General features: G+C 43.3%; 1 long non-coding RNA gene across 3 annotated transcripts; it reads right to left on the bottom strand.

Annotated features, from left to right (window-relative positions):
* Nucleotides 1–755: 755 nt before the first annotated feature.
* LOC124904993 (uncharacterized) lies at nucleotides 756–7,097 on the bottom strand. Of its 3 annotated transcripts, XR_007067805.1 has the most exons (4): nucleotides 5,947–6,024; nucleotides 4,908–5,100; nucleotides 1,245–2,097; nucleotides 756–992 (listed from the first exon to the last, which is right to left on the bottom strand). It is a non-coding gene; the product is annotated as an uncharacterized LOC124904993 (long non-coding RNA). The 3 variants fall into 3 exon arrangements; XR_007067804.1 differs by having other exon boundaries at nucleotides 4,908–7,097; XR_007067803.1 differs by having other exon boundaries at nucleotides 1,783–2,097; nucleotides 4,908–7,082.
* Nucleotides 7,098–23,415: the final 16,318 nt, after the last annotated feature.

The following is a 23,415-nucleotide window of genomic DNA, read 5'->3' as shown; positions in this document are numbered from 1 at the left end:
GCACTTTGGGAGGCTAAGGCAGGCGGACCACCTGAGGTTGGGAGTGGGAGACCAGCCTGACCAACATGGAAAAACACCGTCTCTACTAAAAGTACAAACATCAGCCAGGCACGGTGGCCCATGCCTGTAATCCCAGCTAATCAGGAGGCTGAGGCAGGAGAATCGCTTGAACCTGGGAGGCGGAGGGTGCGGTGAGCCGAGATCGCGCCATTGCCCTCTAGCCTGGGCAACAAGAGTGAAACTCTGTCTCAAAAAAAAGAAGAAGAAGAAGAAGAAAAAGAGAAAGTAATAAAGAAAGAAAGAAAGAAAGAAAAGGCAAGGCCAGGCAAGGCCAGGCAAGGCAAATCTACCTGCTTTCACTACATCTGGGGAGAATCAGGAAAGTCCCCAACAACAACAAGGCCTAAAGTGGAGCTGCCATCTGTCAAACCCGAGCGGAAGAGTCCACGCGGGTTAAAGACACGAAGAAAGACAAGGAAACCCCTGACCAAGGAGAAGAACAATCGGGCCCAGCCAGGGTCTGTCTCCCGGGGTTGTCTGGGCAACCAGGGAGGGCGGGCCTCCGAGACTCCGTCTCGAAACATCAATCACGATAATAACATAAAATGAAGTTAAAAAAAGAAATCACGCATAATTCCTAACGTGTTTGAGGCCTCGAAAGGCGAGAGGCGTATGTGTACGTCACGGTGGGGTTGTTCTGTTTTGTTGTTTTTTTCTTTTTTCTTTTCTTCTTTTTCCCCAGAAACTCACTTTTAATTATTTTGTTGCGTTTCATTTTCATTTTCATTTTGCCTTCAAGTCCAGCGTCGCAAGCATGGCAATACCCCTTCTCTACTAATGTTCAAAAATTAGCAGGGCATTATGGCGCGTGACTGTAATCCCGGCCACTCAGGAGGATGAGACTGGAGAATCGCTTCAACCCGGGAGATATTTGCTGCAGTGAACCCAGTGCACCACTGCATTCCAGCCTGGGTGGCTGAGCGAGAGTCCGTCTTAAAAAAAAAAAAAAAGACACAAGAAAGAACAGACCAAAATACTCCATTGTTTCAGAACATTTCCCCAGAAGACCCCAAACGCCCTGAGTCAGGTCAAGGAGGTGGTGCTTTATTTTACTTGTCTCTCTCTCTTTCTCTCTCTCTCTCTTTCTTCCCTAACTGTTATTTGTTTTTGAAGCATACATGTGCAAGATTGTTTCATAGGTAAACTTCTGAGTAGGGGGTTCAGTGTGCCGATGATTTCCTCACCCGGATTCTCAGCGCAGTCCCCTACAGTTTTTGTGTTCTGCTCGTTTTGCTTTGTCCTGAAGCTGTCTGTCCTTCCACACGTCCTCCCTCAGGTAGGCTCCTGCGTCTCTCGTCCCCCTAGTTCTTCGCATGCATTCTCATTATGTAGTTCCCACTTATGTGTGAGAACACGCGGTATTTAGATGATTATTGTTTCATCTTCGGTGGTGGTGATGAAAGAGGCATGACACTACATCGACCCTTAGGACGCTCCCCTCCATCCCCACCCTACACCCCCTCCCCACGCACACCGTCTTTCCTGCACCCCCTCCTGAAACCCAACAAACGAAGAAAGACAGAAATTAAAGTAAGAGTTCAGCCACCAAGGCGGTGGTGGGGGGGAATCTCAAACGGTGAGCAGGCGATGGGAGTCTGGGGATGTCATGGCCTAGGTAGCAACAATAGGGGACCGACTTTCCAGCCCCCACCCCACACTCCCTAATCCTCAGCCATCACTTTGGAGTTCATCCAAGGAAGGCTGGTCTCAGGGACTACATACCTAACCTCTCTGGGCTTCTATAGGATAAGATGTTATGGCCAGACGCGGAGCTCACGCCTTTAATCTCAGCACTTTGGGTGGTCAAGTTGGGTGGTACGCCTCAGGTTGGGTGTTCTAGACCAGCCTGACCATTATGGAGCTACCTAGTCTCTATGAAAAAAAAAAAATTAGCCAGGCCTGGAGGTGTTTGCCTGTGGTTTCAGCTACTCGAAAGGGTGAAGACTGGAAAATCTCTTGAACACAGGCGGCAGAGGTTGCGGTGAGCTGAGGTCACGCCACTGAACTCCAGCCTGGGCAATAAGAGCGAAACTCCACCTGAAAGACAAAAAAAAAAAAAAAAAAATGAAAAGGAAAGAAGATTTTATGAAGTATAGTTTATACCAATCGGCTCTCACTGTACCTTGAGAGATTCCGAAAATCGCTACTTAATGACCGAAGAAAACACCAGCTAACAGGTTTTGGGGAAAATACACATCTTCCTAAAATTGGTAAAATCTACTTCAACTGAAAAGAGATAAGTAAAGTAAAAACTACAAACAAAACAAAACGTAAAAACAAACACAGACCAAGGCATCGCTTGTGGAAATATTATGTAAGCAAATTGTCACTTTTTAGAAAGCATTTCTATGTTGGGCAAATACCAGTAAGGCCCAGGGAAGATCTGTGAAATGTGGCAGCATGCACCATTTTAAGGGCTGAAATCCATCTGTGTGTCTCCTTTCATCACAACTCTTTTTTTTGGGCGGGCGGATACCTGGAGTTCATGAGTTCAAGAGCAGTCTGGGCAATATAGCAAAATTCTGACTACTAAAAAGGCAAATGTTAGCTGGGTATGGTGTCACACAGAACTATGTTCCAAGAGGAAGCATCACAAATACCCATGGTCCGCAGTCAAGAAATGAACTGAGTTTACAAGTTTGTAGTGTCATTGCTGCCTCGAAAGGTGAGATGCATATGTTTGTGTCACTGCGGGTTTCTATTTCTTCTTGGAAACTCACTTATTTTTAATTACTTTTTTTTTTTTTAGATGGAATCTGACTCTGTCACCCAAGCTGGAGTCCAGTGGCATGATCTGGGCTGACTGCAATCTCCATCTCCCGGCTTCAACAGATTCTACTACCTCAGCATATAGAGTAGCTGGGAGTAGAGGTGTGTGACACCACACCTGGTTAATTTTTGTATTCTTCATACAGACAGAGTTTGACTATGTTGGCCAGGCTGGTCTCAAACTCCTGACCTCGTAATCCTCCCACATCCGCCTAGCAAACTGCTGAGATGAGAGGAGTGGCCCACTGCACCCAGCCTACTGGTTTATTTTTAAAAATAGCAATTTGGGTCGGGCGCAGTGTGTCTCGCCTTTCTATATCAACCAACATTCTTTCTCGAGTCTGATGACCTGGGATCTCCCAGCACTTTGGGAGGACGAGGCCACAGGATTCCTGGAAGTTGGAGTTCAAGACCAGCCTGGGCAACATGGGAAAACCCTGTCTTTACTAAAAAGGTAAAAGTTAGCTGGGTATGGTGGCACGTGCCTGTTATCCCAGCTACTCGAGAGGCTAAGGCAAGAGAATCGCTGGAACCTGGGAGGCGGAGGTTGCAGTGGCCCGATACTGCGCCATGGCCTGACCAACAGAACAAGACTCCATCTCAAATAAATTAATAAATACGTTAGTTAATCGAAAAGTTTAAAAAGAAAACTTCAAGGACGTTGCAGGAATGCACGGGAATGCTTCTCTCATTCCTAAAGATCAGAGCAGAAACACAGTACCATCAGGTTGAGATACAGGCCATTGTGAATCTCTTCTCACTGTGCTCAACTGACACCAAAGAAGGGCAGGTTTCCATGCCGCCCGTTCATCATCACCGCTCTCGTCAAGTATAATTGCAGAGTCATGACTACACAGAGATCTCTCAACCCACCAACTGCGTCCTTACTTGTATGAGTGCAGTTGAAAGAATAAACAGGGCATTTAGCGAAGTAATCATCATATGTTCTTTTGTCTCTCGTGTCTCTCATGAAACCAATCACATTCGTGGACCACTTTTTCCCCACCCTTCGAACATCCACAGAGCATCAAAATAAAAGAGCAGTGAATGCCTTTTACGCGACAAGGAGGAAAAACAACAAAGTGAAAGTCACAGAGGCTTGTGATACACAGGGAGATACAGAATAAGGAGAATTTTCCAAAATCCACACAAAGACAGACAGACAGAGGGATGGAAAGAAAGAAATGAAGAAAAGAGAGAGAGAGTAAGGAAGATCAAGAAAAAGAAAATAGACAGACAGAGATGTAAAGGGAAGAAAGATGAAAAAGAAAACCAAAAGACATAGAAACAGAAAAAAAAAGAATGAGAAATGAGAGAAAAAAGGGAGGAAGAAAAAGAGAGAAGAAAAAGAAAAGACAGAAAGAAAGAGAAAGAAAAAAAGAGAAAAAATGAAGGAAATAAAAAAGAGGGCAGGGCATTGTGGCTCACACCTATAATCCCAGCACTTTGGGAGGCTGAGTTGGAAGAATTGCTAGAGCCTAGGACTTTGAGACCAGCCCTGGCAACACAGTGAGACCCCGTCTCTACTGAAAAAGAAAAGAAAAGAAAAAAATCCGGGCATTATGATGGCAGGCGCCTGTGGTCCCAGATCCTTTGGAGCCTGAGTTGAGAACATCGCTTGGGGTCGGGAGGTGGAGGCTGCAGCGGGTCTTGGTCAGACAAATGCTCTGCAGTCTGTTTCCGAGGCTGTCTTGAACTCCCGAGCTCTAGCGAACTGCCCTCCTCAGCCTCCGAAATTGCAGCCGCCACAACCAACGGTCCTGAAGGTGTCATTGACAGATTTTAGTAAACAGGGTGTTTCGCCATATTGCGAATTTGAACCCAGGCATTTGAAGCTGCAGTGACCCAAAGTCGCGCCACTGCACTGCACTCTGGGTGATAGAGGAAGACTCCATCTCTAAATAATTACATAAATAATAAAAACAATAACAATAATGACAAACAATAATACAAAGAAATAATAAGCAGCAATAATAATAAACAAACTCGTGGGAGTGAAAAACTATAAAAGGTAATTTAGATCACAGTTAATTGCAGTTTATTTCAAGGAATTTTTTTCTTTAACCTGTCTCTCTTACCTTCTGAAACACTCAGACTGGAGGGCAAGGCATCATCACGGCTCACTTCAGCTTCGACATCACAGAATTAAGTGATTCCTGTAGTCTCAGCCACTTGGAAGGCTGAGATAGGAAGATCACCTGAGGGAGTCCTGGAAAGTCGAGGCGGCTGTAAGCCGAGATTGCATTCTTACACTCCAACCTGCCTCAAAAACTACAAATAAATAAAAGGTAAATGTAAAACAACAGCAACTTCAGTGTGTAGAAAGAGGAGCAAGAAAAATAAAAGAAAAACAAAACGAAGAGAAACTGAAAGTACTGTGGAAACAGTTGGAGAGGAAGAAACAACGCAAGGAAAAAGCGACACCTAGTGAATGCGGGCGGTACTGCTGCTGACCAAAGTTATCTGGTCTACCTTAGAAATCCCAAGTTGACGGTCAAGTCCAACGCTTGCCGCGGACATCAGGTGGGCACGGCGACCAGAGACCTGAGGACTGGGGCCTTAGGCCCTGGTCCCAGGTCTTCCAGACAGAGAAGCCCGCGGCCGTGTCAACTGGATGTTGCTTGCTTCCCGCAGTCGGCTGATTCGCGGGCTGATCGGGAAGCCAAAGGCCAGCATCTAATCGACAGGGTCCACCCTAAAGACCAAATGTGGTGCTCGCGGAGGGAAGCGATCAGACGCAGTTGGAACCTTATCACACAGAACCGGCCCAGGTTTGAGGCCGTCTAACTTGGCAGACCTGCCAGCCATTTCCCCGCAGTCCGCTGGTTGACCCGGACAGAGAAGAGGAGTAAAGACACAAGGGTAGTGACTAGCTAGTCTTTCATCCCAGCACCCCTGAGGCGGGGAGAGGGACTGTGACCCCAACAGCCACCCACGGGCATCGCGCGAACACTACTCAGGCAGGGACTGCAGGGGCAAAACCTCTGACACCCGCGCCTCAGCCATTCGCACGAGGCTCGAAGAATCCGGTCCCAACTCGTGGAGGAATTCCCAGCGGGATGGGAGAAAGAAGCTCAATCAGAGAGGTGGAACATCGAGCAGGGGCGCCAACCCTACCTCGCAACCCCCAGCGCTGCATCTTGGAAAGCCTGCTGTTGGGGAACGACCCCTCCCAAATGCACGGCCGACGCCAATGTTATCTCGCGAGAGACAGCCCTGCATGCCCTGGGGCTCCGGGGCGGGGGGCCTGAGCAGGCCCGGGAACTAAGTCCCCGGGGGCAAAAGGAGGAAAGAAGGAAGGTAGAGGTCCAGGGCTGAATTATACAGGACACGCCACAACGCTAGTTTTCCCGCACACTGGTTGAGAGCCCCTTGTGTGGAGGGCTGACTTTCAATAGGTTGCAGTGAGGGAGTTGCTCTGCTCCATAGGAAACCCTGACCCAGAAGCAGGGCGTTTACCAATAGTTTAGTATCAGATTCCCCATAAGCATGTTATGTGACGGGCCAGGGAGCAAACGCCTTTCTGGCCGCACCCCGTTTTTTAGGATGGGGGGCCGCACCCCATTTTTTAGGATGATAAGACCGGAGCAAGGTCTTGGCGCACAGCGGGGCGGAGCGTCCGGCCGGTGGCAAAGGCTGGGGACTGGCTATCTGAGGCCAACCGAGTCTTGCCAGCGCTGCTGCATCCTTTCTTCTGGGCGGGATTCTGATTTAGAGGCGTTCAGTCATAATCCCACAGATGGTAGCTTCACCCCATTGGTTCCTCAGTCAAGCACATACACCAAATGTGTGAAACTTTGATTCCTCTCATACTCAGCAGGATTACCATGGTAGCAACACATGGGCAACAACACATGGAGAACACACGCAGTAAAACTAACCTGTCTCACATGGGTCTAACCATGATGTTTTCCAGGGCATGCACTCCGCTTTTAGATGAATCCATTCCACTTTGCCTTGCCCTTCACAAAGAAAAGAGAACTCGCTGGCCACAGTGGCTCACGCCTGTAATCCCGGCACATTGAAAGGCTGAGGCTGACGGATCACCTGATGGCAGGAGTTCGAGTCCAGCGTGGCCAACATGGTTAAACCCTGTCTCTATGAAAATACAAAAATTAGCTGGGCATAATAACGGGTGCCTGTTAACCCAGCTCCTCGGTAGGCTGAGGCAGTAGAATCGCCTGAAACCAGGAAGCGGATGTTGCAGTGAGCCGAGATTGCTCCATTGGGCTCCATCCTGAGCCTCTAAGCGAGACTCCATCTCAAAAAAGAAAAAAAAAAAAAAAAAAAACGAGAACTCTCTCTAGGGCTCCCACCTGCTTTTGCAGAATCAGAGAATGTGATTGCCGGCAAAGGTTGAGGGGAGGGCGCAGGGGAAAGAAGGGGGAGGAGCAAAGGCTGGAGACACAATAGCTCACTCTGGAACCTTTCCAAGTTTAGTGGGGACAATTTTGAAACTAGCTGACTCTGGAAATTACACATAATTCATAGTATTATTGCTTCTTTGAAAGGTGAGCGGTTCATGATTTTTTTTCTCAGCATTTATTCATTTACTTGTAATAAGTGCATTTAGTTTCATACAGTTTACATACAACCGGTTTGACTGTATCTGCAGAGATTTAGGATAGTTTTTCTTAATGGTAAGCCCTAGGGTGGAGCTACAATGCACTTTCCGTTGTGAACCCTGAAAACTTGAGAGAGGTCTCAGTTAATTTAGAAAGTTTACGTAACCAAGGTTCAGGACGCATACCCGTGACAGCCTCAGGAGGTTCTGAGGACATGTGCCTAAGGTAAACAGAGAACATTATCGTTTTATACATTCTAGGGAGACATGAGACATCAATCAAAGTATGCAAGATGAACATTGGTTCGGTCTGCAAAGGCGGGACAAATTAGCAAACGCGGGAAGACTGAAAGTGAGGAGGGGACTTCCTGGTCAAAGGTAGTTAAGAGACAAATGGTTGCATTCTTTGGAGTTTCTAATTAGCCTCTCCAAAGGAGGCAATCAAATATACATTTATCGCTTGAAACCAGGAGGCGAATGTTGCAGTGAGCCGAGATTGCTCCACTGGGCTCCAGCTTGAGCATCTGAGCGAGACTCCATCTCAAAAAAGAAAAAAAAAAAGAGAAAAGAGCAGAGGAGTGACTTTGAATAGAATGGCAGGTTGGCCCTAAACAGTTGCCAGCTTGACTTTTCCCTTTACTTTAGTGATTTGGAAGCCTCAAGATTTATTTTTCTTTCACACACACAATTTTTAAAACCCAGGTAGAACTGTTCATGCTTACTAAAAAAAAAAAAAAAAAAAAAAAAGGAAGAAAGAAAAACAAATGATAGCCTAGGCGCCCTGGCTTATTTCTGTAAACTCAGCACTTTAAGAGGCTGAGGTGGGTGGATCATCTGAAGTCAGGACTTCGAGAACAGACTGGCCAACATGGCGAAATGACGTCCCTACTAAAAATACAAAAATTTGCTGGGAGTAGAGGCAGGCACATGTAATACCAGCTAGTGGGGAGGCTGAGGCAGGAGAATCGCTTGAATCCAGGAGGCAGAGGTTGCAGTGAGCCGAGATGGCGCCATTGAACTTCAACCTGGGCTACAAGAGCGAAACTGTCTCTGTCTCTAAATAAATAAAGAAATAAGCATTCCCAGCCAGGGTGGAGGTTTCCTAGGCAACAAGGCATAGGGGGAGGGACAGAAGGAGTGCCTCTGAGGTCAGGGTGGGGCCCGAGAGAAACCAGTTTTCCCTGGCTGTGCGCGGGCGGCCAGAAGTTTTGGTGTGATGCCTCCATTTTCAATAACAGTGACCGCTAGGTGACGCCAAATGACAACCGAACGACGTTCCAGCCTGGAATGAGTGGGGTCACTGGTTTAGGGGTTGTCAAGGAAGGAGAAAGAGATGGAGGCCCATGGGGTCGCCGGTCTTCTGATCTCTCCTGGATTACGTTTCCGGGCCCGAGACACCCTCCCAGACAATCCCCGCAGCTCTTCAACCAGTGTCCCTGGGGAAAAGATGATCAGTTCTCAGAAAACATTCAGACAGGCAAGAACATGCGCTCACGTAAGCACATGACAAGTATACAACTTTATATGTGATAGTGAGCTTTCTTTTGCAAAATGTCTTCGTGATGCATTTCACTACATAGTATTGTTGAAAACATCAAATTATAGGAGTGAGCACAGTGGCTCAAGCCTGTAATCCCAGGACTTCTGAAGACCAAGGTGGGAGGCTGGATAGAGGACAGGAGTTTGAGACTAACCTGGGCAACACATCGAGAGAGATTACCACTACTTAAAAATATTGCCCAGCATTGTGGCACATGCCTATATTTCCAGCTACTCAGGAAGCTGAGGCAGGAGGATTGCTTAAGCCCAGGATTCAACGTTGCAGTGAGTGAGCTGTGAACAGGCGACCAGAGTTTTTTTGTTCTCTACAGCTTACATTTTCAATAACGGTTGCCGCTAGTTGTCGCCCAAAGACAACTAAAACACGTGTCATCCTGGAATACGTGGGATCCCTGATGGAGGGGTGGGTGAGGAAGTAGGAGGGGACGGAGGCACACGGAGTCGCCCATTTTCTCATGATTCCCGTTGGACTACTTTTCTGGGTGCAGAGCATCCTCCCAGAAAGTCCCCAAAACCATTCAACCAGAGCTCCTGAAAAAAACAGTCGCACTCTCTGCCCATCGGATCATCCGGAATTTCCATTTATCCATTGAGAAGAATGCTCCATTGGAGTTTGGCGCAGGTTACGGTTACAGGCAGGGGCTGCCTCAGACAGAAGTCTAGTCTACAGAGTTTCACAGTAGACCCTAGGTTCAATCTCTCCCAAACTCAGAGTAGCAATATCTGTCACAGTAGAATGAAGTGCATGAAATGCGTGCTCCGAAGAAAGCGTGTTTCACACAGATGATTTGCACACTTATTCTTGTCCCTAGGCCAGTTGTTTCTTCCAAAATACCCATTACTCAATCGTTCACCCTCTCGTGAACCACTTAGGAATCTTGTTCTATGAATCCTGGAGCTTCAATATTTGACATCTTCAGAAGAACATGAATGCTATCCTAGCCTGGTAGCAATAAGGTACCATTTCTCAGAAAACACGCACCTATGCACACAAGCAAGCATGTATACACACATGCCCGCATCATATCTATACAATTTTACACTGTGATAGTGAGCTTTCTTTCCCTAGATAACTTCGTAATTGCTTTCGCTACATAGTATTGTTTAAAATATCAAATTATAGGTGCTGGGTGTGGAGGTTTGACTCTAGTCAAAGCACTTTGCAGGCAAAGCTGGGAGAATCGCTTGAGGTGGGGAGTGTGAGAACAGCCTGGAAAACATAGCAAAATCTAATCTCTACTAAAAATAAAACAAAATTAGTTAGGCGTTGTGGGGTGCACCTATAGTCTCAGCTACTTAAGAGGTTGAGGCAAGGATTGCTTAAGAACAGGAGTTTGAGATCCTATGATACTCACTCCTGCAACACTGCTGTGGCCCATGAATTGGCTACATGACCAATGACACGGAAGGAACATGATTACAAAATTCCTGGCAAAAAAAAAAAATAGAAAAACTTTTGTGGATAAACTTCTCTCACTGGGTAAATTACATAAAGATATGTCTGTTCTATATGAATCCCTACTAAGGGGTAACCGTATCAGAGCATGATTTTGATAATGATGTGGACAGAATGTCTTGTTCCGTGAGTATGGGTCATTCTTACTTCCCTGTCACCCCCATCATCACCCAATGGGCTTATAAACAAGGTGAACATAGTAGCAGAAATAGAAGCAATGCACGGGCTAAGCAATATGAACTTTGAATCCCAAAGGCCAGTCTGGCTACAGTCAATTCTGAATGTTTAATTTGACAGCAGCACAGATCTACACTGAGTCTTTGATATGACATCATTTCCAGGGTGATCCACCAGGCACCTGGTAGTAAATTTATTACGTTGAATAACTTTTATAATATAGGCGGCAACAGTTTGTACTCACTGGAGTAGGCTCTTACTATGGATACAAATTTGCTTTCCCTGGGTGGAATTCTGCCAAAACTACCCTCCATGGACTCACAGAATCCCTCATCCATCCCTATGATATTCCACTTAGCATTGCTCAGACCAAGAAACTCACTTCACAGCCAAAGTGTAGCAGTGTGCTCATCTTCACGGATGTCAGTGGACTTACCATGCTTTCCATTATCTGGAAGCAACTGGATTAATAGAATGATAGGTTTGTCAGCATTTCCAGCCACCCTAACACCTATATCTCCCTGTGCACCCTAAGGGACTCCACAGAATGGTGAATTAGATACATATATCCAAAGGAACTACATACATTTGTGTTCCCCCATCCAAACCTCCAATCGTATGTAGTTTAATATTTAAAGTTGCTGAAGTTAGCTGTAGACAAAGGACAAAAATTAGAAGTGCAGAGGGAATGGGTTCCTTCATGTGGGTAAAGGAGAGACTTACAAAACCTGCTTAATGTGGCTTTTTGCAGTCTTTTTGCTGCTCACAGCTGAACCACATGAACTTCTACTGTTTTGGACTCATCCAAACCTCAACATTAGCTTTAAGAGCTCCTTGATTTTCCAGCAGGAGAAAAGTGAACATGCAAAGCTCTCAGGTTCATTGTTATAATCCTCTCAAGGATCAGTCTCATTAGCAGACAGCAGAGTCTTGATCTCTTGCTTCACCAAACTAACCACTTGGCCGAGAGAATTTGCTGTTGGTCCTGGGGGAACTTCTCATATCCCTTGCAAGCTCTTCAAGTATTTGTTCCTTTTCCCCTTTCAGAAAGTTGTGTTTATCTCAGCATGCCATAGTCATCTCCAAAATTAAATAATTGTGACGTATCTAAGATTTTATAGCATTTGTAAACAACATATTAACCTTCCATTTTCATCGATGCTGGTAGAAGGCATGAGACACTGAAGTATGAAAAAAAATACCTACTATTTACTGCTTACCTGGAGGCAAAAGCCTCATATTTGTATTAGTTCTCCTTGTCCATACTACGTTTTTTGAAGGATTTCAAAAGGCTCATATGGACATTGTACATGGGGAAGATTTGTGTCATAGCTGAGCAGACTCAAGACTAAGAAACCTCAATCTTTTTAAAGTAGGTTACATGGAAGCCTGTCCAACCTTTGCGTCACAAAGAAAAATTGTCTTTATTATATTGATTGAGTAATTTATCTGCCATTCACCTGAAGAGAAAAACTACTACCCTTTTTCCAGGTTATTTGTGTACAAAAATCTTTGAAAAATAACGTGGAACAGGACAGGTATGTGATGTAATCCACAACAAAACAACAAACTCTAAGAGACTTGTGGAGAACTACATCTCAGTAGCATGCATCTTTCCCATTAAATGTTGCACTAAGCAATCCTGTGATAAAAGACAATCCATTGAAGACTTTCGACATGAAGACTAACCTCGGTTGTTTTGTGTCGTGGGATTGTTCAAGTGATTCTCCAGTGTCAGCCTCCAAAGTAGCTGGGAATACAGTCTCCCAAGACCACGCTCAGCTTATTTTTGTATTTTTAGTAGAGGCGGGGTTTTACCATATTGGCCAGACAGGTCTCGAACTCCTGATCTCAGGTGGTCCGCCTGCCTTGGCCTCACAAAGTGCTAGGAATATAGGCATGAGCCTCCGTGCCCGGCCCCAGAAATGAAAGTTCTAGTGCGCAGTAATGTAATTCTGACAGATAAATGACAGGTGAGAGTAAGTGAAAAATCTAACACAATTTAACATTTTTACATATTTAGACATATTGAAATTGGTTAGCTTATTGGAAAAAGTTAAATGACTAGTAATATATACAGCATATTTATTCTGAATGAATTGCTAATCTAGATTTGAGACATGAAATAATTATTTTTACAACACAGAAACATAAACTGCATTTCCATATACAATTAACAATTTGACAGTAAATTAAGAAAACAATTGTTCGCAACAACATTAAAATAATATAATTCTTAGCAATAAATTTAATAAGGAGGTAAATATCTTGTACAATAAAAAATACAGGATCAGAATGTTTATGAAAAAAACTAAAAAGGACTTAAATAACTGGCAACAAATTCCATGTTCCTGAACCGGAAGATTTAATGAAGTTAAGATGACAATACCACTGCCCAAAGGAGTGTACAGATGTACTGTAATCCCAAGTTTTCATTTTTCCAACTTTTCTTCTGCAAAAAGAAAATAGCTCATTTAAAACTTCATATGGAATTTGAACATCCTCTGAATGTACAGAATAATCTTGAAAAGAAGGACAAAATTAGGTGGCTCACAATTTTAAATTTGAAAACATAAAAAGCTACTAAAATTATAACAGTTTGATAGTGGCATAAGAACAATTGTGGAGATCAAATAAATAAAATAGATACTCCAAAAAACCCTTTCATAAATTATTGTTTGTCTTTTTAAAAGTGTGTCTTAATCATTATGTAAAGACAGTTTGTTACACAAGAAATGCTGGGAAAACAAGTCCACATTTAAACCAGTAAAGTTGAATCTTTATCACATTCCAAGTAGAAAAATTAAATAAAAATTGATTAAAGATATAAAAACAAGTGTTAAACTTTAGTGGTTTCTAATAGTTGTTTTTATTTAACTGGGGACAGCACTAACATGAACAACTTTATACACACAAACTAGAAAACTTTAACGAAATAAATAGATTCCTAGATATACACACTCTCTCAAGATTAAGCCAGGAAGACAATGATTTCCTGAACAGACCAGTAAAAAACTCTGATATTAAATAGGTAATAAGTAGCTTGCCAATCAAAAAAAAAAGCTCTGGACTTTATGGACTTACAGCCAAATTCTACCAAATGTACAAAGAAGAGCTGGTACAATTCCTACAGAAACTATACCCAAAAATTGAGAAGGAGGGTCTTCTCCCCAACTCATTCTATGAGGACAGCATGATCTTGACACCAAAACAGGCAGAGACACAACAAAAACACAAAAAATTAGCCGGGCTTGGTAGCAGACACCTGTAGTCCCAGCTACTTGGGAGGCTGAAGCAGGAGAATGGCGTGAACTCAGGAGGCAGAGATTGCATTAAGCAGAGATCGCGCCAGTGCAATCCACTCCAGCCTGGGCAACAGAGGGAGACACCGTCAAAAAAAAAAAAAAAAAGAAAGAAGGGAAAGAAAACTTCAGGCCAACATTCTTGACGAACATCAATACAAAAGTTCTCAACAAAATATTTGGGAGGCAAATCCAGCAGCACATCAAACAGGTAATCCGTCATGATCAAGTAGGCTTCCTCCTTAGGACGCAAGGTTGGTCCATCATGTGCAAATCAATAAATGTAATACATTACATAAACAGAACTAAAAACAAAAAAAAGATGATTATCTCAATAGACGCAGAAAATAATAAAAGCCGTCTATAAGAAACCCACAGCCAACAATGTGTTGAATGGGCAAAAGCCGGGAACATTATTTTTTAAAACCAGTAGAAGGCAAGAATGCCCTCTCTTGCCATTTCTATTCAACTTAGTATTGACAGTACTGACCAGAGCAATCAGGCTAGAGAAAGAAATCCGAAGAACATCCAAATAGGAAGAGAGAAAGCCAAACTATTTCTGTTTGCAGATAACATAATTCTCTATCTAGAAAACCCTGTAGTTTCATCTACAAAGCTTCTTTAGTTAACAAACAGCTTCAGCAAAGTTTCAAGATACTAAATCAATGTGCAAAGATCACTAACATTTTTCTACACCAACGATAGCCACACTGACAGCAAAATCAGAAAGGCCATCCCATTCACAATTGCCACTAAAATAATAAAATATCTGGAAATGCAGCTCACCAGGGAGGTGAAAGAGCTCTACAATGAGATTTACAAAACACTGCTCAAAGAAATCAGAGAAGATACAAACAAATGGAAAACCATCCCATGCTCACGGATAGGAAGATGCAATATCACTAAAATGGCTATACTTCACAAAGAAATTTACAGATTTAATACTATTTCCATCAAACTGCCAATGAAATTTTTTACGGAGCTAGAAAAAACTATTTGAAAACTCATATAGGCCGGGGGCTGTGGCTCACACCTGTAATCCCAGCACTCTGGGAGGCCAAGGGGTGTGGATCATGAGGTCAGGAGATCCAGACCGTCCTGGTCAACATGGCAAAACTCCTTCTCTACTAAAAATACAAAAAATAGCTGGGAGTAATGGCAGCGCTTGTAATCCCAGCTACTTGGGAGGCTGAGGCAGGAGAATCCCTTGAACATGTATATAATATATACGTATGTTATACATATATTTATTATACTTTAAGTTCTAGGGTACATGTGCACAACGTGCAGGTTTGTTACTTATGTATACATGTGCCATGTTGGTGAGCTGCACCCATTAACTCGTCATTTACATTAGGTATATCTCCAAATGCTATCCCTCCCCCCTCCCCCCCCAACAACATTCCCCAGTGGGTAATGTTACCCTTCCTGTGTCCAAGTGTTCTCATTGTTCAATTCCCACCTATAAGCGAGAACATGTGGTGTTTGTTTTTTTTTGTCCTTGTGATAGTTTGCTGAGAATTATCTTTTCCAGCTTCATCCATGTACACACAAAGGACATGAACTCATCATTTTTTATGGCTGCATAGCATTCCATGGTGTATATGGGCCACATTTGCTTGATCCAGTCTATCATTGTTGGACATTTCGGTTGGTTCCAAGTATTTGCATTGTGAGTAGTGCCACAATAAACATACGTGTGCATGTGCCTTTATAGCAGCACCTAACATGACTTTTCTTATTTTCTTAGATTGTGAGTTTCTTTCAGACTAGGACTCTGCTGAGTCAGCTCTCTGTCCTCCCTGTACTCCTTATCACAGTGCTTGGCTATGACAGATGTTTAATAAATATTTGAGAAACACAGTAAATCCATATGAGTGACACAATGTTACGGAAAACTCTGGTCATTCAACAAATTCTATTCTCCCATTTATTAGGGACACAGCAGAATTACATTTCTTAGCCTCATTTGCATGAGATGTGGAAACGTGACCAGTTATTGTTAATGGTTGTAGAGTGAGATGGATGTGAGTCACATTAAGATGAGTCCATCAAGTCTTCTCGCATGCATTTCTTAAAGTACTTTATTTTCAGGGGACTGAACACAAACGGCAACCACGACTCATGGATGATGAAGACAAATAATGAAAGAACTTTGAGTTTCTGAATGACCACATGGAGAGGAGGTGCCTTTTCAATTTGGCCACCGAACAACTCTGTGATGTGTGCTAAAAAGTGCTGTTAATCTACTGCAAATTAGGGATGTGCTGGTATTTGACAGTTCAGCATAATCTAAAACATGCACTTAAAAACCTATTCACTGAATTAATTTAAAAGGCATTTTTATAGTACACTTAAGATGACAAACGTTAAGGTGGTCTTGCAATTTTTACCCTTCCATTTTGACCGTACTATGTTATATTAGAGAACTTGAGCCACATAAATGATCAGTTTTTATTGCGTCTATTTGATTCTTCTCTCTTTTCTTCTTTACTAGTCTTGCTAGCAGTCTATCAATTTTGTTGATCGTTTCAAAAACCAGCTCCTGAATTCACTGATTTTTTGAAGGGTTTTTTATGTTTCTATTTCTTTCAATTCTGCTCTGATCTTAGTTATTTCTTGCCTTCTGCTAGCTTTTGAATGTGTTTGCTCTTGCTTCTCTAGTTCTTTTAATTGTGATGATAGGGTGTCAATTTTAGATCTTCTCTGCTTTCTCTTGTGGGCCTTTAGTGCTATAAATTTCCCTCTACACGCTGCTTTGAATGTGTCCCATAGATTCTGGTATGTTGTGTCTTTGTTCTCGTTGCTTTCAAAGAACATCTTTATTTCTGCCTTCGTTTCGTTATGTACCCAGTAGTCATTCGGGAGCAGGTTGTTTGGTTTCCATGTAGTTGAGCGGTTTTGAGTGAGTTTCTTAATCCTGAGTTCTAGTTTTATTGCAGTGTGGTCTGAGAGAGAGGTTTTTATAATTTCTGTTCTTTTACAATTTGCTGAGGAGTGCTTTACTTCCAACTATGTGGTCAATTTTGGAATAAGTGCGGTGCGGTGCTGAGAAGAATGTATATTCTGTTGATTTGGGGTGGACAGTTCTGTAGATGTCTATTAGGTCTGCTTGGTGCAGAGCTGAGTTCAATTCCTGGATATCCTTGTTAACTATCTGTCTCATTGATATGTCTAATGTTGACAGTGGGGTGTTAAAATCTCCCATTACTATTGTGTGGGAGTCTAAGTCTCTTTCTAGGTCTCTAAGGACTTGCTTTATGAATCTGTGTGCTCCTATATTGGGTGCATATATATTCAGGATAATTAGCTCTTCTTATTGCATTGATCCCTTTATCATTACGTAATGGACTTCTTTGTCTCTTTTGATCTTTATTGTTTTAAAGTCTGTTTTATCAGACACTAGGATTGTAACCCCTGCCTTTTTCTGTTTTCCATTTGCTTGGTAGATCTTCCTCCATCCCTTTATTTTGAGCCTATGTGTGTCTCTGCACGTGAGATGCGTTTCCTGAATACAGAACACTGATGGGTCTTGACTCTTTATCCAATTTGCCAGTCTGTGTCTTTTAATGGGAGAATTTAGTCCATTTACTTTTAAGGTTAATATTGTTTTGTGTGCATTTGATCCTGTCATTATGATGTTAGCTGGTTATTTTGCTCGTTAGTTGATGCAGTTTCTTCCTAGCCTCGATGGTCTTTACAACTTGGCATGTTTTTGCAGTGGCTGGTACCGGTTGTTCCTTTCCATGTTTAGTGCTTCCTTCAGGAGCTCTTTTAGGGCAGGCCTGGTGGTGACAAAATCTCTCATCGTTTGCTTGTATGTAAAGGATTTTATTTCTCCTTCACTTATGAAGCTTAGTTTGAATGAATATGAAATTCTGGATTGAAAATTCTTTTCTTTAAGAATGTTGAATATTGTTCCCCACTCTTCTGGCTTGTAGAGTTTCTGCCGAGAGATCAGCTGTTAGTCTGATGGGCTTCCCTTTGTGGGTAACCCGACCTTTCTCTCTGGCTGCCCTTAACATTTTTTCCTTCATTTCAACTTTGGTGAATCTGACAATTATGTGTCTTGGAGTTGCTCTTCTTGAGGATTATCTTTTTGGTGTTCTCTGTATTTCCTGAATTTGAATGTCACCCTCCCTTGCTAGATTGGGGAAGTTCTCATGGATAATATCCTTCAGAGTGTTTTCCAACTTGTTTCCATTCTCCTCATAACTTTCAGGTACACCAATCAGATGTAGATTTGGTCTTTTCACACAGTCCCATATTTCTTGGAGGTTTTGTTCATTTCTTTTTATCTTTTTCTCTCTAAACTTCTTTTCTCACTTCATTTCATTCATTTGATCTTCCATCACTGACACCCTTTCTTCCAGTTCATCGAATTGGCTACTGAGGCTTGTGCATTCATCACGTACTTCTCGTACATTGGTTTTCAGCTCCATCAGGTCCTTTACGAACTTCTCTGCATTGGTTATTCTAGTTAGCTATTCATCTAATTTTTTTAAAGGTTTTTCACTTCTTTGCCATGGGTTTGAACTTCCTCCTTTAGCTCGGAGTAGTTTGATCGTCTGAAGCCTTCTTCTCTCAATTCGTCAAAGTCATTCTCTGTCCAGCTTTGTTCCATTGCTGGTGAGGAGCTGTGTTCCTTTGGAGGTGGAGAGATACTCTGATTTTTAGAATTTTCCGTTTTTCTGCTCTGTTTTTTCCCCATCTTTGTAGTTTTCTCTCCTTTGGTCTTTGATGATTGTGATGTACAGATGGGATTTTGTTGTGGATGTACTTTCTGTTTGTTAGTTTTCCTTCTAACAGTCAGAACCCTCAGCTGCAGGTCTGTTGGAGTTTGCTGGAGGTCCACTCCAGACCCTGTTTGCCTGGGTATCAGCAGTGGAGGCTGCAGAACAGCGGATATTGGTGAAAAGCAAATATTGCTGCCTGATTGTTCCTCTGGAAATTTTGTCTCAGAGGAGTACCCGGCCGTGTGAGGTGTCAGTCTGCCCCTACTGGGGATGCTTCCCAGATAGGCTACTCGGGGGTCAGGGACCCACTTGAGGAGGCAGTCTGTCTGTTCTCAGATCTCCAGTTGCATGCTGGGATAACCACTACTCTCTTCAAAGCTGTCAGACAGGGACATTTAAGTCTGCAGAGGATTCTGCTGCCATTTGTTTGGCTATTCCCTGCCCCCAGAGGTGGAGTCTACAGAGTCAGGCAGGCCTCCTTGAGATGCAGTTGGCTCCACCCAGTTGGAGCTTCCTGGCTGCTTTGTTTACCTACTCAAGCCACGGCAATGGTGGGCGCCCCTCCCCCAGGCTTGTTGTTGCCTTGCAGTTTGATCTCAGACTGCTGTGCTAGCAATGATTGTGGCTCTGTGGGCGTAGGACCCTCTGAGCCAGGTGCAGGATATAATCTCCTGGTATGCCGTTTGCTAAGACCTTTGGAACAGTACAGTGTTAGGGTGGGAGTCACCCGATTTTCCAGGTGCAATCTGTCACCCCTTTCTTTGACTAGGAAAGGGTATTCCCTGACCCCTTGCACTTCCTGGGTGAGGCGATGCCTCACCATGCTTTGGCTCACATGGGGTGCGCTGCACCCACTGTCCTGCACCCACTTTCTGACACTCCCCAGTGAGATGAGCCCGGTACCTCAGTTGGAAATGCAGAAATCACCTGTGTTCTGCATTGCCGATGCTGGGAGTTCTAGACTAAGGCTTTTCCTATTCGCCCATCTTGGCTCCACCCCCTCTCTAATTAAATTTTAATGTGAATAGTCTGAAATTATTTTTTCTATATCCTTCAGTTTTTTCATAATTCTTCTCTAACTTTTAGGTTCTATGTTTATGCCCCTTACATTTTCCAGAAATGTTTCTGAAGATTATTGCCCATTTTAAAGTTAAACTAATTTTTTATTTAGTTTTTTGTTTATTCTGTATTCTGCTTATCAATCGCTTGTCAGCTGTGTAGTTTGCACATATTTCCTCTCATTTTCTTTCTTTTTTTTTGAGACAGTCTTGCTCTGTCACCCATGCTGGAGTGCAGTGGCACGATCTCAGCTCACTGTAACCTCCACCTCCTGGGTTCAAGAGATTCCCTGGCCTCAGCCTCCTGAGCAATTGGGCTTTCAGGAACCACGCCCGGCTAATTTTTGTATTTTTAGTAGACACAGTGTTTCACCATGTCAGCCAGGCTGGTCTAGAACTCCTGACCTCAGGTGATCCACCAGCCTCAGCCTCCCAAAATACTGAGTTTATAGGTGTGAGCCATCGTCCCTGGCCAATAGAATATTATTTATACAATGGAGTATTAGCTAGCCATAAAAATAAATACAGAACTGATATGTGCCACAACATGGATAAATAATGAAAACACGCTCAAAGAGAAAAGCCAAAGAAAAAAGGTCACATATTATATTATTATATTTCTATAAAGTGACTAGAATAGAAAACTAGAAATAGAAGCCGGGTGTGATGGCTCACGCCTGTAATCCCAGCACTTTGGGTGGCCGAAGCAGGCAGATCACGACGTCAGGAGATCGAGACCATGCTGGCTAACATGGTGAAACCCTGTCTCTACTAAAAATACAAAGAAAAATAGCTGGGCGTGCTGACAGGCATCTGTAGTCCCAGCTACCCTGGAGGCTGAGGCAGGAGAATGGCGTGAACCAGGGAGGTGGAGCTTGCAGCGAGCCGAGATCGTGCCACTGCACTCTAGCATGGGTGACAGAGTGAGACACCAAAAAAAAAAAAAAAAAAGGAAAGAAAGAAAGAGAGTACTAGAGATAGAAAGTCAATCAGTGGTTACCAAGGAAATTCGGTGGATGAATGATAAATTACTGCTTAATGGATATGGAGTTTTTTTGGTGAGAGGGTGATGAAACTATTTTGGAATTTGATAAGGGTGACAGTTGCATAGCATTGTAAATAAACTGAAAAGCACTGAATTTTACACTTTATATTAGATAGTATGTAGAACTCTATATTGTGTAAATTTTAGCTGACTAAAACATTTTAACAAGCAAAGAAAAATAAACTGTAGGCTTTGTGTGGTGGCTCACACCTATAATCTCAGTTTTTTTCAGAGGCTGATACAAGCAGATCACGAGGTGAAGAGATCGAGACCATCCTGGACAACATGGCGAAACCCCGTCTCTACTAATAATACAAAAATTAGCCAGGCTTGGTGGCACGCCCTTATATTCCCAGCTACTCAGGAGGCTGAGGCAGGAGAATCACTTGAACCTGGGAGGTGGAGGTTGCAGTGAATCACTTGAACCCGGGAGGTGGAGGTTGCAGTGAGCCGAGATCATGCCACTCCACTCCAGTCCCGTGAAAGAGCGAGAAGAGAGAGACTCTGATAAAGAAAGAAAGAAAGAAAGAAAGAAAGAAAGAAAGAAGAAAGAAAGAAAGAAGAAAGAAAAAAGAAAATAAGGAAAGAAAGAAAAGAAAGGGAGGGAGGAAGGAAGGAGAAAGAAAGAGAAAGAAAGAAAGAAAGAAAGAAAAGGAAGGAAGGAATGAAGGAAGAGGAAAGAAAGAAAGAAGAAAGAAAGAAACGGAAGGAAGGAATGAAGGAAGAACAAAAGAAAGAGAAAGAAGAAAGAAAGGAAGAAAGAAAAGAAACGAAGGAGAAAGAAAGAAAGAGAAAGAAAAAGAAGGAAAGAAAGAAAGAAGAAAGAAAGAAAAAGAAAGAAGAAAGAAAGAAAGAAGAAAGAAAGAAAGAAAGAAAGAAAGAAAGAAAGACAGAAAAAAGAAATACTATGAAACAGGAGGGCAAATGAGGGAGCCCTGGAAAACGATTCTGTCTCCACTTTCAAAAAAGATCGCCCCCTCCAAAAAAAAGATCCCCAAAGCTCTGACCGAGAAGGTCTTCTCCTTGGATCCCAGAGCAGTGGTCTGAGGATCTGTCACATTCTACACCAGCCTGAGTGCTCAGTCCCGCACACCCCTAGGCCACTTTCTGCTCTGAAAGACCTTCGGAGGACACAGAGCAATTTCCAAAGTTCTGAGAGTACAGTGGTAATTGATAGACAGCAAGGTCAACTCACTTCTTTAAGCCTTTCAAATTTAGGGGTCACACAGTTCAATTATGTCAATTTGTACAGGGAAAAATTGAAGGTTTTCACTACTGTATTCCTCTCCATATTGGGTGTAGGGGGATTCCTTACCATTTTAATTATGCAGATTAATGAATGGAGAAAGTAAGGTTTTGTCCTTGGAAAGCTATCCTGGTGTTGGCTGCAGCCCAGTCAGATCCATGGAAGCCTTGAGCCTCTCAAGCCATCAGCCTATTGCCTTCCCCTGCCCATGTTATGGGTCCTGGGCATGTTACCAGAAGATGGGGTGCTTCTACCCCATGACAAAGCTGCCCCTATCCTCTATCTTTTTTCTTCTCATCACTCCATCAGCGTTAACTCCTCTTATGACCTTTAGCCTGAGAAGTCTGTGTGTGTATGCACAAACCTGTGGAATTCTATGATGCAGACATGAGTTTGCTTCATATGACGAGAAAATTGGCAAAAATCCCCAGGATCTCAGGGACTCATTCCCAAAACAAACCCCATGAGAGTGTTGAGCCCTGGCCTAGGAGGTCAGAATGCTCTTTTTTCCCTTGGACTCTGCCCACTTCATCATCTCTGGGCCAGTCCCTGCTTCTCTCCAGACCTCAGTTTTTCAGATATCCAATGAGATGTGAGATGTCAAAATGCTTAAGCCACAGCTCAACATGCATATGGTCTAACGTCCCTACCAACTAGGATTGGTGTAGCAAGGCTGTGATCAGGGTGTTCCCAGATCTTCCTCACTTGGGAAGAAATAGATGGGTTCTGCACTGGGCACATGGACCTTCTGTTCAAGAAGGGTCATACACACTTGATCTTTCAAGGCCCACAGACAATGTGTGCAAGTGAGCCCCACCTCCACCCCCAAACAGCTTCCATGGAGCATAACAATATGTCCCCTGTCCTCTGAGTCTGGAAAGTAGTGACATCCTCACTTAACACATGGATTGATGGACCCTTTGTATAATTAAATCTTCCCCACTACTGCCTCCACCACTATGCAGATAGAAAAAAGTCTTAGGAAAGTGACATAACATCCAGAATTACACAGAGATTCCATGGCAAAGCTAGCACTTTAGTTAGGATTACATTTTCCTACATATAGAAGAAAACCCAGACCGGGTGCTGTAGTTCACGCCTGTTATCCCAACACATTGGGAGGTTGAGGCAGACGGATCACCAGAGGTCTGGAGTTTAAGACCAGCCTGACCAACATAGAGAAACCCAGTCTCTACCAAAAATACAAAATTTTCCAGGCGTAGTGGTGCATGCCTGTAATCCCTGCTTCTTGAGAGGCTGAGGCAGGAGAATCGCTTGAACCCGGGAGGTAGAGATTGTGGTGAACCGAGATCGCGCCATTGCACTCCAGTCTGGGCAATAAGAGTGAAACTCCGTCTCAAAAAAATTAAAAAAGAAAACCCAATATAATAGTGCAGATAAGAGAGAGAATGCTTTCTTTCTCATAAATAAGGATGTTAGAG

This window comes from Homo sapiens, chromosome 21 (genome assembly GCF_000001405.40).
Source record: "Homo sapiens chromosome 21, GRCh38.p14 Primary Assembly".
Lineage (NCBI taxonomy): Eukaryota > Metazoa > Chordata > Mammalia > Primates > Hominidae > Homo > Homo sapiens.
This window is presented reverse-complemented; position numbering and strand designations above follow the sequence as displayed.